Source organism: Homo sapiens, chromosome 16 (genome assembly GCF_000001405.40).
Source record: "Homo sapiens chromosome 16, GRCh38.p14 Primary Assembly".
Classification (NCBI taxonomy): domain Eukaryota; kingdom Metazoa; phylum Chordata; class Mammalia; order Primates; family Hominidae; genus Homo; species Homo sapiens.
This window is the reverse complement of record NC_000016.10, coordinates 1782948-1795141: the sequence shown is the minus strand read 5'-3', so window position 1 is coordinate 1795141 and position 12194 is coordinate 1782948. Positions and strand designations below refer to the sequence as shown.

Genomic DNA, 12194 nt, shown 5'->3' with positions numbered 1-12194 from the left:
GGAATGTGTGGGGCTCCCAGGTGGGGTGCGCGGCCTGACGGAGGCCGGGGCCCCCACGGGGACCTCTCCTGAGAGGAGGCCGCCCGGGTCTGCTGGCCTCAGGCCCCAGGCCCCTGCTGAGTCTGCGTTTTCTGCTGAGTAAACGGATCGTGGGTCTTTCTGGGTGTGGACTTTCTCCCCGTGGATCTATAATTTCTCAGAAGAGGAGCCGAGACGCCACCTGGAAAATGATCAATTCTCGATAAAGGGAAGACGATGACAGTGGGCCGGCGGCTTCCCACAGCTCTGCACGGGGCCTGCCAGGTGAGGCCGGAGCTGAGGATGGGGTAGGGCCCTGGAAAACTGTGGTCTCCCCGAGCCCTGGCTGTGCCCCCGCCTGCACCCCTTCCGGCTGCTTCCCTGCACACTTTCCCACTGCCGAGGGACTGGTGGGCAGGCCCCACTGACAGCCAGGGGAGGGGCCTGCAGGGACCTGGAGGGGAGGGGCTGCACCTGCTCAGGCCCTGGGGGAGAGAGCGACTGGTTGGGAAGTGGTTTGAGCAGGTGGAGGGGAACCAGGGGCCTCTGGAGGCAGGTGGAGACGGAGCCCAGGGGTGGCCTTGGACATGGCTGGGCACACATTCCTGTGGCCTCTCTGCACACAAGCGGTGACTGTGGGGCGGCCAGGCCCTCACCAGAGCCTTGGGGGACAGCAAGGGGCAGGTGAGGCTTGTCTGAGGCACAAGACCTGGCTCCCATGGCCAGGCCACCCCCACACACTCCCCGAGGATGGCGCAGGGCAAAAGCAAACAGGCGCCTGCAGCCCTGCCAGGCATTCCTAGAAGAGGCTGGGGGCGGGGCAGTGGCCAGACACCAGCGCCCCTGGGGTCACGGGAGAGGCAGGGTGAGCTTGGGCCCTGGACAGCACCGTGGGCCTGAAGCCCAAACGGCAGCTCCCACCCAGGCTGTAGGGAACCCCCGGGAGGGCGGGTGGATGGCTGGGTGGGGCACGGGGAAGGGGCGGCAGCCCCTTAGCCCCACACGGCTGGCTACTCAGGCCAGGGGTGGGCTCAAGACCCCAGGAGCTGCCCGAGGAGCCCCCTGCCCGCAACAGGACCTGGTAAAACCCTGGGCTCCCCAAACCGGCCTCAAGCCCCAGCCCCTCCCAGGCTGCTGCAAGGGGTCCCCACCCCAACCTGGCTGCCCAGCCCTCCCCAGTCAGCCCTGCAGGGGGCCCGGGCACTGGCCGTCAGCCCCCAGGGCCGCATTACGGCTACCTCGGGCCCCGACTGAAGCTCCCTCACCCCCTGCACTGTCTGCACCCCAGGGCTCCGGGCTGATGCCGGCCGCCCGGCACGAGGGGGTTAACAGAGCCAGGGCCAGCTGGGTTGGGCCAGCCAGGTGACAGGCGCGGGCTGCCCCGCAGTGGGGAAATCCAGAGGGCAGGGGTGGCCGGCACAGCAGACGTACCCTCCCTCGCTGCCTGCCTGCAGCCTGCCCTGCATGCAGGATGGCCCTGAGGAAAGGTGAGGCCCCCGAGTGCCCCGCCACCCACTCTAGGGGTGGCCAGTCTGTGACCCTGAGCCCGCTGGGGAGAGGCCGGGGTAGCCCCCAAGGAAGCTCTGGGGGGCTCAGCTCTGGGGGTCTGCGGGGGACTCTGGGGAGCCCACAGTCGGAAATGCGGCTGCTGGGGTTGGCAGGGGGACACAGCTGTGCCTGGCACCAGGGGTCTCTGTCCCGTCCTCCACCCTAAGGGCGCTGGCGGCGGCACAGGGGAGGAGGGCCAGGTGCAGGCCGGACCCTTCAGCTCCCAGCACAGCGGCGGGAAGTGCCCCGCACGGCCCGCGTTGTGGGCCCGGCCCAGGCAGGAGACGTTGGCTCACACCCCATTGTCTCTGTGGGGTGACCCCTTGCAGCTTCGGCCACCCCCAAGCCTGAGCTGAGCTCCAGAGCTGGCTCAGGCCACTCCCAACCCATCGTGACAGAAGGGCAGTCGGGGGGGCCCCACCTCGCCCCTGCCACCATCCCAGCAATTCCACACTCTCTGAGGATGGGGGGGCCATACAGTAGAGGTTTTGGGTCATCGCTGCTTGGGAGCCTGCTGGCTGGGTCTGTGGGGCCTGTGGCCCCTTGTCCTGAAAGGCAATGTGAGCTTTGGTGGCCGACGGTCCAGGGTTCCTACCTGTCCCCCGACGGCGGTGCCCCGGTCCCCTCCCGCAGCACCCGACCAAGGCCTGGATGCAGGCAGGTGAGACCCCGCTGGGGGGCCTAACTGGGGCAGGAGGTGCCCAGCTCCCTGTCCAGCCTCTGAGGGCAGTGAGCGAGTGCCCACCAAGACCTGCTGCAGAATATTCTGAAAATGGCCGGACCTTGGCCAATGGCTCAGTTCCCTCCCCTTCCTCTAGGCCAACGTGGCAGACTGGCCTGGCTCAAGCGCCTGCCTTGGGGGTGCGGCTGCCACATGGCCAGACAGCCCGAGACCCAGCCTGGCCGAGCCCACGTGGCCTGCGCACAGCTGGAGAGCCAAGCCCTGAGCGTCTGTGCAGCGGGGCGGGGCGGCCACTCCTCTGTCCCATGGGGTGGGAAGCGCAGTGTCAGCTTTTGAGCCGGAGGACCTGTGGGGCTCACCGGCTTCTTCGCATCTCAGCGGGTGACCTCGAGCCTCAGTTCACACCTGAGCGCCGCTTCCGGCTGTGCTGGTATCAGGCTCACTCGGGCAGAGCCCTCCTCGGGCCGCCTCCCCAAGCCTCTCCCCCCGCAGGAGGCCTGGCCCTGGCGCTGCTGCTGCTGTCCTGGGTGGCACTGGGCCCCCGCAGCCTGGAGGGAGCAGACCCCGGAACGCCGGGGGAAGCCGAGGGCCCAGCGTGCCCGGCCGCCTGTGTCTGCAGCTACGATGACGACGCGGATGAGCTCAGCGTCTTCTGCAGCTCCAGGAACCTCACGCGCCTGCCTGATGGAGTCCCGGGCGGCACCCAAGCCCTGTGGCTGGACGGCAACAACCTCTCGTCCGTCCCCCCGGCAGCCTTCCAGAACCTCTCCAGCCTGGGCTTCCTCAACCTGCAGGGCGGCCAGCTGGGCAGCCTGGAGCCACAGGCGCTGCTGGGCCTAGAGAACCTGTGCCACCTGCACCTGGAGCGGAACCAGCTGCGCAGCCTGGCACTCGGCACGTTTGCACACACGCCCGCGCTGGCCTCGCTCGGCCTCAGCAACAACCGTCTGAGCAGGCTGGAGGACGGGCTCTTCGAGGGCCTCGGCAGCCTCTGGGACCTCAACCTCGGCTGGAATAGCCTGGCGGTGCTCCCCGATGCGGCGTTCCGCGGCCTGGGCAGCCTGCGCGAGCTGGTGCTGGCGGGCAACAGGCTGGCCTACCTGCAGCCCGCGCTCTTCAGCGGCCTGGCCGAGCTCCGGGAGCTGGACCTGAGCAGGAACGCGCTGCGGGCCATCAAGGCAAACGTGTTCGTGCAGCTGCCCCGGCTCCAGAAACTCTACCTGGACCGCAACCTCATCGCTGCCGTGGCCCCGGGCGCCTTCCTGGGCCTGAAGGCGCTGCGATGGCTGGACCTGTCCCACAACCGCGTGGCTGGCCTCCTGGAGGACACGTTCCCCGGTCTGCTGGGCCTGCGTGTGCTGCGGCTGTCCCACAACGCCATCGCCAGCCTGCGGCCCCGCACCTTCAAGGACCTGCACTTCCTGGAGGAGCTGCAGCTGGGCCACAACCGCATCCGGCAGCTGGCTGAGCGCAGCTTTGAGGGCCTGGGGCAGCTTGAGGTGCTCACGCTAGACCACAACCAGCTCCAGGAGGTCAAGGCGGGCGCTTTCCTCGGCCTCACCAACGTGGCGGTCATGAACCTCTCTGGGAACTGTCTCCGGAACCTTCCGGAGCAGGTGTTCCGGGGCCTGGGCAAGCTGCACAGCCTGCACCTGGAGGGCAGCTGCCTGGGACGCATCCGCCCGCACACCTTCACCGGCCTCTCGGGGCTCCGCCGACTCTTCCTCAAGGACAACGGCCTCGTGGGCATTGAGGAGCAGAGCCTGTGGGGGCTGGCGGAGCTGCTGGAGCTCGACCTGACCTCCAACCAGCTCACGCACCTGCCCCACCGCCTCTTCCAGGGCCTGGGCAAGCTGGAGTACCTGCTGCTCTCCCGCAACCGCCTGGCAGAGCTGCCGGCGGACGCCCTGGGCCCCCTGCAGCGGGCCTTCTGGCTGGACGTCTCGCACAACCGCCTGGAGGCATTGCCCAACAGCCTCTTGGCACCACTGGGGCGGCTGCGCTACCTCAGCCTCAGGAACAACTCACTGCGGACCTTCACGCCGCAGCCCCCGGGCCTGGAGCGCCTGTGGCTGGAGGGTAACCCCTGGGACTGTGGCTGCCCTCTCAAGGCGCTGCGGGACTTCGCCCTGCAGAACCCCAGTGCTGTGCCCCGCTTCGTCCAGGCCATCTGTGAGGGGGACGATTGCCAGCCGCCCGCGTACACCTACAACAACATCACCTGTGCCAGCCCGCCCGAGGTCGTGGGGCTCGACCTGCGGGACCTCAGCGAGGCCCACTTTGCTCCCTGCTGACCAGGTCCCCGGACTCAAGCCCCGGACTCAGGCCCCCACCTGGCTCACCTTGTGCTGGGGACAGGTCCTCAGTGTCCTCAGGGGCCTGCCCAGTGCACTTGCTGGAAGACGCAAGGGCCTGATGGGGTGGAAGGCATGGCGGCCCCCCCAGCTGTCATCAATTAAAGGCAAAGGCAATCGAATCTAACAGGCACAGTGGGTGACTGCGAACGTGAAACCAGGGAGGGGGCTGGGGGCTCGGCGCGCAGCTGTGGTCTCAGAGCTTTGGGAGGCCGAGGCGGGCGGATCGCTTGAGCCCAGGAGTTTGAGAGACCGTCCTGGGCAACACAAGAGAGACCCCGTCTCTACAAAAAATAAAAAAAATTAGCATAGCATGGTGGCCCATGCCTGTGGTCCTAGGGAGGCCGAGGCAGGAGGACTACTGGAGCCTGGGAGGTAGAGGCTGCCGTGAGCCAAGACTGCACCACTGCACTCCAGCCTGGGCGGCAGAGCAACACCCTGTCTCAAAAAAACCCACCTGGCTCAGGGGAGGGGAGGATGGTGTTGCCTGGGTACGCCTTGGTCTCCTCACCTCTCTCCTCCCCGGCTTGGCCACGCCCAGGGCCCCCGCCTGGATCCTGCCCCGCCACCGCCCTGGCCAACTGCCCCACACCCATGTGTCTTCCTGGTCCCCGTGGCTGCCCCTCGGGCTCCCCAGAACATCCTCCAGGAATGATGGCACCAACTCGAATCCCCAGGGGCTCTGCGTCTCACCCCTCCTCTTTGAGGGATCGCCCTGAGGACCAGGCAGTGTCCCCGAGGGGTGTGGTCCAGGCAGCCAGGGCGCGGCTGAGGTGGGGTGAGGAGGGAGCGCGGGGCGGGCCGTCCGCCTTGCGTGGGAAGCCGCACCCCCTGCAGATGCCGTGGGCGTTTGTCTCTGCCCCCCCCAGGCACCGGCATCGTCAGCCCAGGTGCTCCTGGTGCCCTCTCACCCACCCAGAGGCCGCCCGGGTTGGTTCCGGGCCCCCACCTCCAGGGTCCTCCCCTGCTGAAGGCTGAGCTCTTCCTTTGGGAAAAATGGCGCGTTCTGCTTTCTGGAAGGGCTTTCCTTTCGGGTCTCACTGGGAAGAGGTGCAGGGGACCCCTGGGATTGGAGCTCCCTTCTCAACCTGACTTCTGGTCTCTGTCCCGGGAGGGGCCCCTTTAGTGTCCCAGGGAGGCCATTCTTCCACGGCGAAGGGGCCAGCTGTCAGGTTTATCACAAAATCTCCCCGAATTCCCACCAAATAAGATGCAAACACATCAGCACCTGGGCCCAGGGGCTTGTTGACAACGGAACGAACGAACCTGCCGGCCTGGCCCAGTCCAGCCCAGAAACTTACAGAAGCAGGTGCTGTCTGACCCCGAAGGACAGAAGACTCTAGAAACATCAGATCTGTCGCCACAGCAGCGGACACGTTTAATGGCAGGCGCCTCTACAGTTACAAAACATGCCTGAGGTCAGTTCGCCCCCTTAGGGGGCACTCCCCGAGCTAAACACAGATGACAGCGACCCAGGGTGCTGGAGGCCCGGGGTCACCTGAGGACTGCAGAAGTCCCGCGCTCCGCTAACTGTGTGGACACGCGGCTGCCAGGGGCACAGGTAGGCAACATGGATGGGAAGAGAGCCCAGGCCGCCCCCGTCTCACAGCTGCAGAGCACGCAGACCACGGCACTGCAGGCCAACCAGGCAGAGCTGCTGGTGCGACACATCCTGGGGCTGGGCTGGTCGGGGAGAAGCTCTCCGGCTGACGCTGCCTGGGCCTGCCCCTGCAGGGCCCGGGAACCGAGCCCAGGCCTCTGTTTCTCTGAGAGGCTGGAGCAGAGCCCTTGGTGGCCCTGGAAAGCGGCTGCAAGGTGGCCTTAGTCAGGGGAGGCACGCGGGCGTCGCGTCCAGAATCTTCTGGGCTATGGAGGTGAGTGCAGCGAAGGCGGGGCTCCCAGGGAACTCCTGGATGAAGTCGTGGCCCTCCTCCAGGGTCCTCATGAGCGCAGGGTCCAGGGGCACGGAGCCTGCAGGGCACAGTGGAGGCGGTGGCGCCATGTCCGCACCTTCCACTCCCACCATTGGCTCAGCTGGACGCACCCGAACCACCCGTGGCCTTAGAGGGGATTGAGGCGCTGCCAGACGATTTCCACCTCCAGACCCGCGGCCCTCCCAGCAGGCTGGGTCCTGCCACCCGAGAGGGCCCTGAGAAGGGCGCGGGCGAATGACCTGCAGGTCTCAGCGGCATGGCGTGTGGCCCGAGAAGAGAGGAGGAAACCGCTCCCGTCCCCTCCTCTCCCTTGGGCACTGGGGGCATGGAGGTCAAACCCGCCCAGGGCAGAGATGGAATGGGAGGCCGCGACCCCAGCACCAGCTTGGGACACTCACCTAAGAAGGGCACCCCGGCGAGCTGGGCCAGCTCCTCTCCGCCGCCCCTGGAGAAGACGCTGGTGCACTCCTAGGAGACGGTGGTGAGCCCAGCACTGCCCAAAGCCCCCACCGGCCAGGTGCTGCCTCGCCCCCTCTGCAACCCCCGGGACTCACCGTGCAGTGTGGGCAGGTGAAGCCGCTCATATTCTCCACGATTCCCATCACCCGCAAGCCCGTCTTCCTACAGAAGGTCAGCTCGCGCCTCACGTCCCCCACGGACACCGCCTGCGGGGCAGGAGCCGAGGCCACGGTCAGCCAGGCGCACCAGCAGGGACACCCGCCCAGCCCTCTGGGAAGCCACCCACAGGGACTCGGGAAGGTGCCGCAGCGCTACCTGGGGCGTGGTGACCACGAGGGCCCCCAGGGGCTGGTAGGGACGCAGGGCTTCTATGGTGGCCATGTGCTCATCGGAGGTCCCCGGGGGCGTGTCCACCACCAGGTAGTCCAGCTCCCCCCAGGCCACGTCGGACACAAACTGCTTTATCAGCGCTGCAAAGACGGGGCAGACGGGGCGGTCAGGGCAGGGCAGGTCTGCACACGTGGCCCTGCGCCACTAAGAACCAGCCAGGTCAGGCCGAGGGGCTGCAGTCCATCAGGTGTCACTTGCCACCAGCCTCCATCACAGGCTCTCGGGAGGCCCTGGCCCGCTGCAGGAGTGCAAAGATGGGGCCGGGGCCATTACAGCGTCCCTTTCTGCAGTGTCTGGCCCCTGCCCACAGAGCCCCCGCTGACTCCCCGAGGCCCCAAATCAGAACACGGAGCCAGGACCCTCCAGGCGTCTGTACCCACACATGGGAGCACCCACATTCTCCGTGGTGGATGCCCCACTGGTGCACCCACAGCCTGCGCCTCACTCCCACCAGCCTCTCCCTGCCTTTGGGGGCGTCTAATGCCACCTGCTCCAGAGGCACCAGAACCCCCTCAGCTCTGCCCCTATGACCTGCCACACTGGGGCCTCAGGTCCCTGCATGCCATGGCCAGGGTCTCAGCAGACCCCACTCCCTCTGACCGGGAGTTGGGGACAGCTGTGTGGCAGCACGGACCCAACTGGAGACACACCGCCAGCCTGAGCCCTGTGCCTGGTCGTGGGTGTCATGTGCAGGTCCCCAGGAACAGGCCTGGCTGCTGAAGAGGAACATTTCCACAGGAGAGGCCGGCACGGACGCTAACCCCCTTCACCAGGACGGCGGACGCGCCGCCCGGCCGTTACCGTTTTTCTTGGGGCCTCTCCACACCACGGCCTCGTCCGGCTTCTCCAGCAGGAAGCCCACAGACATGAGCGAGATGCTCTGCTCCCGGTCCAGGAAGACGGGTGCCCAGCCGCGGTCGCACTGGTGCACAGCCCTGCCCTGCGCCCCGAGCATGCGGGGGATACTGGGGCCACACAGGTCCACATCCAGGATTCCCACCTGCAAGGAGCGGCACAGCCTAGGCCGGGGGCACCGCCAGGCCTCCACCGGGATGCGGGCAGCTGCCCGGGGCTCCGCCCAGTGAGGGGTAGGGCGCTCACCTTCTTGCCTGCATGGCGCAGTGCCAGGGCCAGCTCCGTGGAGATGGTGCTTTTCCCAACGCCCCCCTTTCCTGAGAGGACCAGGATGATGTGCCTGACGCCGGCCAGGTTTCCAGGCTCTGGGCGGAAACACGACAGAGAAGGTCAGGGCTCCTGGTGCCCACTGTGCCCACACACGCGGGGTCACCCACTGCCTCTTGCACCCACGTTCTGAGCGGGGCAGTGGTGAATCGCCAGACCCAGAGGCAGCCCGTGCCCCACTTCGCCCCGATGTAAAGACCTCCAGGCAGGTCCCCTGCAGCCCCAGACCCGGGGGGACCCTCTAAGACCACGGCACTCCCTGCACCTGCCTGAGGCGGCGCTGCTGAGAGTGGAAACTGCCCAACTCCTCTCGCTGTGTGGAAGGGTGCATGCGTTCCTTCGTGCGCGTGTGCAAACACACACGTGGGTCACATGATCATGAAACTGCCAGCCCCCTGCTATTTCTAACGGGAACCAGACTCCACTCTTTCCCCAGCCAGTGCACCTGGGCTCGGCAGAGGCAGCAGAGGGCCCAGGGTGGGTGGCAACAACCACGCGTTGTCACACACCAGCGTCCCCGGCTCTCGGTCCCTGCAATGTGCGGTAAGTGAGGGGAGCCGGCTGCTTCCAGCACAGCTCCAGCTCCTCTTCCTTCCAGGGTCCCATCCTGTCCCTGCCACACGGCAGGGGCTGCTGTGTGCAGATACCTTGGCAAAACCCCTGCATTCTCACCCCGGCGCCACCGCTGAGGCCATGCCCCTTGTCTCCAGCAAGCTGCTCCATCCCCGACAGGTCCTTGGAGGGTGCATGTGAGGGGCTCAACACATGATGCGTAAAACCTGCCCCCTTCTGATCCGCCTCTCAAGGGCACGTTCAAAGGCTCCCAAGTCCAAAGCCTCCCGGAGAACCTGGCATGCAGGCGGGTCCTCAGACCTACAGAGGCTGCCTGAGGTCTCCTCCAGGGGACGCGGAAAAGGCAGCCCCAGCCCCACACTCCTGCAAACACAAAGCCCCGAGACCACGGCCTCCCGGTCACCCCTGGGGCAATAAAAGGGGTTCTGACTTAAATTACTTCAACACCAAGAGGTACCAGAAGTGGCCCGTGCAGAGAGGGAGCATGCACTTCTGTAGCTGCCGGGGACTCTGTCAGGCCTGGGTCCTGACTGCCATGCTGCCATCAGTGCTGGCACCAGCGGCAGTGTTAACCCCCAGGGGCTCTCCTCGTTGGCAGAGGTGGGGGAATGGTGCCTGTCTGGTGTGTTGGGCTGAGCACCATGGTAAATGCAGGCCTTAGTGTCAGGAACCGGGACAACAACCCTGAGGGTTCCCCCAAGAACATTTCACTTCTCAGCAAACTGAGGCAGCTCCTAAGCAGATTGTCAGCAAAGCACAGTCAGCATGAGCCTGCCGGGTGGGGCAGTGGGGCTGGAAGTGCAGGAAGGAGGCGAAGCACCATCTCCCCGAGGAAGGCGAGTGCGCTCTCCATGGACAATGAGTCCCGGTCAGCTTTATGGGTTAGCAAATCCAGATCATTCCACGTGGTGGACAAATATATTTTTACAGTAAATGTATATTTTTATTTTGAGAGGGGGTCTCATTCTGTCGCCCAGGCTGGAGTACAGTGGCGCAATCTCGGCTCACTGCAACCTCCGCCTCCTGGGTCCAAGCAATTCTCGTGCCTCAGCCTCCCACGCCTCAGCTTCCAGAGTACCTGGGACCACAGGCGTGCGCCACCATGCCCAGCTAATTTTTTATTTTTTTCGTAGAGACTGTTTCTCTATGTTGGCCATGCTGGTCTCAAATCTGACCTCAAGTGATCTGCCCGCCTCGGCCTCCCAAAGTGCTGGGATTACAGGCATGAGCCAACTTGCCCAGCCTAGGCCTTTTGAATTTTTATGTGCATATTTTCCCCGTTTAAAGAAAGCTTGGGGCCGGGCGCGGTGTCTCACGCCTGTAATCCCAGCACTTTGGGAGGCCGAGGTGGGTGGATCACCTGAGGTCAGGAGTTCGAGACCAGCCTGGCCAACATGGCGAAACCCTGTCTCTACTAAAAATACAAAAAAAATTAGCCAGGCGTGGTGGCGTGTGCCTGTTATCCCAGCTATTTGGGAGGCTGAGGCAGGAGAACTGCTTGAACTTGGGAGGTGGAGATTGCAGTGAGCCGTCATCGAGATTGTGCCACTGCACTCCAGCCTGGGCAACGGAGCGAGTCTCCGTCTCCCCCCAACAAAAAAACGAAAGCTTGGACTAGGTGCAGTGACTCACGCCAGTAATCCCAGCACTCTGAGAGGCCAAAGTGGAAGGATCATTTCGGTCCAGGAGGAGTTCCGCACCACTCTCAATAACGTATTCAGACCCCATGTCTACACATTAAAAATGTAGCCAAGCGGGGTGGTGCATCCTGTGGTCCCAGGTGCTCAGGAGGCTGAGGTGGGAGGGTCGCTTGAGCCCAGGAGGTCAAGGCTGCAGTGAGTTATGATCGTGCCACTGCACTTCAGCCTTGGCGACAGTTAAGACCCTGTCTCAAAAAAAAAAAAAAGCTTCTATCAATCTCAGTAATATCCTTACTTTGTAGTAAATCCGTCCTGATAATAAGGACAGGCTTTTCCAGGCTTCTCCTCTGGAATAAGACTCCAGCACTGGGCCAGGCGCCGTGGCTCACGCCTGTAATCCCAGCACTTTGGGAGGCTGAGACGGGCGGATCACGAGGTCAGGAGATCGAGACCATCCTGGCTAACACGGTGAAACCCCGTCTCTACTAAAAATACAAAAAATTAGCCGGGCGTGGTGGCGGGCGCCTGTAGTCACAGCTACTCGGGAGGCTGCGGCAGGAGAATGGCGTGAACCCGGGAGGCGGAGCTGGCAGTGAGCCGAGACCGCGCCACTGCACTCCAGCCTGGGCGACAGAACGAGACTCCGTCTCAAAAACAAAAGACTCCAGCACTCGGTTTCTAATCTGTCAGAGTTGTGCTGCAAGACCTTGCTGTCCGAGGAATGTTTTCCTTTTGGTATCGGACTCGAGGTCTCTTAGAAGATAAATGCGGCTCCCACTACTCAGGAGGGCCCACGGCGCTGATCTGGCGAACGGATCGTCCCCACTGGTGTGAATTCTGTCCCGCGCAACTTACACTTTTCTGAACACTGAGAGCGCCACTTCCACAAAGAACTTAAAAGCATGTGAGATTCTGGCGTCCGTCTTACTTTCATGACTGCGCGCGTGTGATTTATTTAGAGACAGGGTCTCGCTCTTGCCCGGGCTGCGGTGCAGTTGCAACCGCGACCTCCAGGATAGCGGGGCCCACAGGCGCCACCGCGCCCGCCTACAACGCGGTGCTCAACAAAGTTAACTTTAAAAGCTCCCCCAACTCCACGACTCAGGCCCTCCGAGATCACGGAGCTTCCACATCGAAGCAGGAGCACGCGGGAAACGACCCTGTTTAGAAAATGCCCGCGCCGCGGCCTCTGGCCCGGCCCAGCCACGCCGGCCGGTGATGGTCGCACCGGAGGCGCGCGACGCAGCGAGGCCGCCCCGGGAAGGGACGCGGCGGGGCCCCAAGCGAGGCCCTGGAGCGGCTCCGCACCCTGGCCCGCCACTCACCGGCCGCCGCCTCCATCCCGCCGCCTCCAGGAGCTCGCGGCTGCAGTCCGCTTACGCCCGCGGGCCGTCAGCCTCCCAGCTAGAGCGAA

The 12194-nt window shown here is 64.7% G+C and overlaps 2 protein-coding genes across 10 annotated transcripts, besides 3 other annotated features; one reads left to right on the top strand and one right to left on the bottom strand.

The window, feature by feature from the left end:
* Positions 234-4729, top strand: IGFALS (insulin like growth factor binding protein acid labile subunit). 3 transcript variants are annotated; one of them, NR_027389.1, is made up of 2 exons: positions 234-303; positions 2741-4729. NR_027389.1 is itself a non-coding variant. In NM_004970.3 (2 exons), the coding sequence occupies exons 1-2, from the start codon at positions 1490-1492 to the stop codon at positions 4540-4542; spliced, it is 1818 nt and encodes a 605-aa protein (NP_004961.1). In that variant the 5' UTR covers positions 1437-1489; the 3' UTR covers positions 4543-4729. The 3 variants fall into 3 exon arrangements, 2 of the variants coding, with proteins under 2 accessions (NP_004961.1, NP_001139478.1); NM_004970.3 differs by lacking the exon at positions 234-303 and adding an exon at positions 1437-1505; NM_001146006.2 differs by lacking the exon at positions 234-303 and adding an exon at positions 1437-1505 and having other exon boundaries at positions 2627-4729.
* On the bottom strand, positions 5956-12182 carry NUBP2 (NUBP iron-sulfur cluster assembly factor 2, cytosolic). Of its 7 annotated transcripts, NM_001284501.2 has the most exons (8): positions 12106-12182; positions 11076-11265; positions 8487-8605; positions 8187-8385; positions 7311-7465; positions 7091-7201; positions 6935-7004; positions 5956-6573 (listed from the first exon to the last, which is right to left on the bottom strand). In NM_001284501.2, exons 4-8 carry the CDS (start codon positions 8338-8340, stop codon positions 6428-6430), a joined length of 636 nt encoding a protein of 211 aa, NP_001271430.1. In that variant the 5' UTR covers positions 8341-8385; positions 8487-8605; positions 11076-11265; positions 12106-12182; the 3' UTR covers positions 5956-6427. The 7 variants fall into 7 exon arrangements, 6 of the variants coding, with proteins under 6 accessions (NP_001271430.1, NP_036357.1, XP_005255084.1 ...); NM_012225.4 differs by lacking the exon at positions 11076-11265; XM_005255027.4 differs by lacking the exons at positions 11076-11265; positions 12106-12182 and adding an exon at positions 9240-10118.
* Positions 8007-8175: a silencer, noted in NCBI's record as "fragment chr16:1836968-1837136 (GRCh37/hg19 assembly coordinates)". NCBI's record gives its function as "represses an EF-1alpha promoter that drives an FKBP-Casp9 reporter gene in an ReSE screen in HepG2 liver carcinoma cells {active_cell/tissue: HepG2}" and the evidence as "EXISTENCE:reporter gene assay evidence [ECO:0000049][PMID:32094911]".
* Positions 11240-11466: a silencer, noted in NCBI's record as "fragment chr16:1833677-1833903 (GRCh37/hg19 assembly coordinates)". NCBI's record gives its function as "represses an EF-1alpha promoter that drives an FKBP-Casp9 reporter gene in an ReSE screen in K562 erythroleukemia cells {active_cell/tissue: K562}" and the evidence as "EXISTENCE:reporter gene assay evidence [ECO:0000049][PMID:32094911]".
* Positions 11894-12103: a silencer, noted in NCBI's record as "silent region_7008". NCBI's record gives its function as "represses an Ori minimal core promoter by ATAC-STARR-seq in GM12878 lymphoblastoid cells {active_cell/tissue: GM12878}" and the evidence as "EXISTENCE:reporter gene assay evidence [ECO:0000049][PMID:35858748]".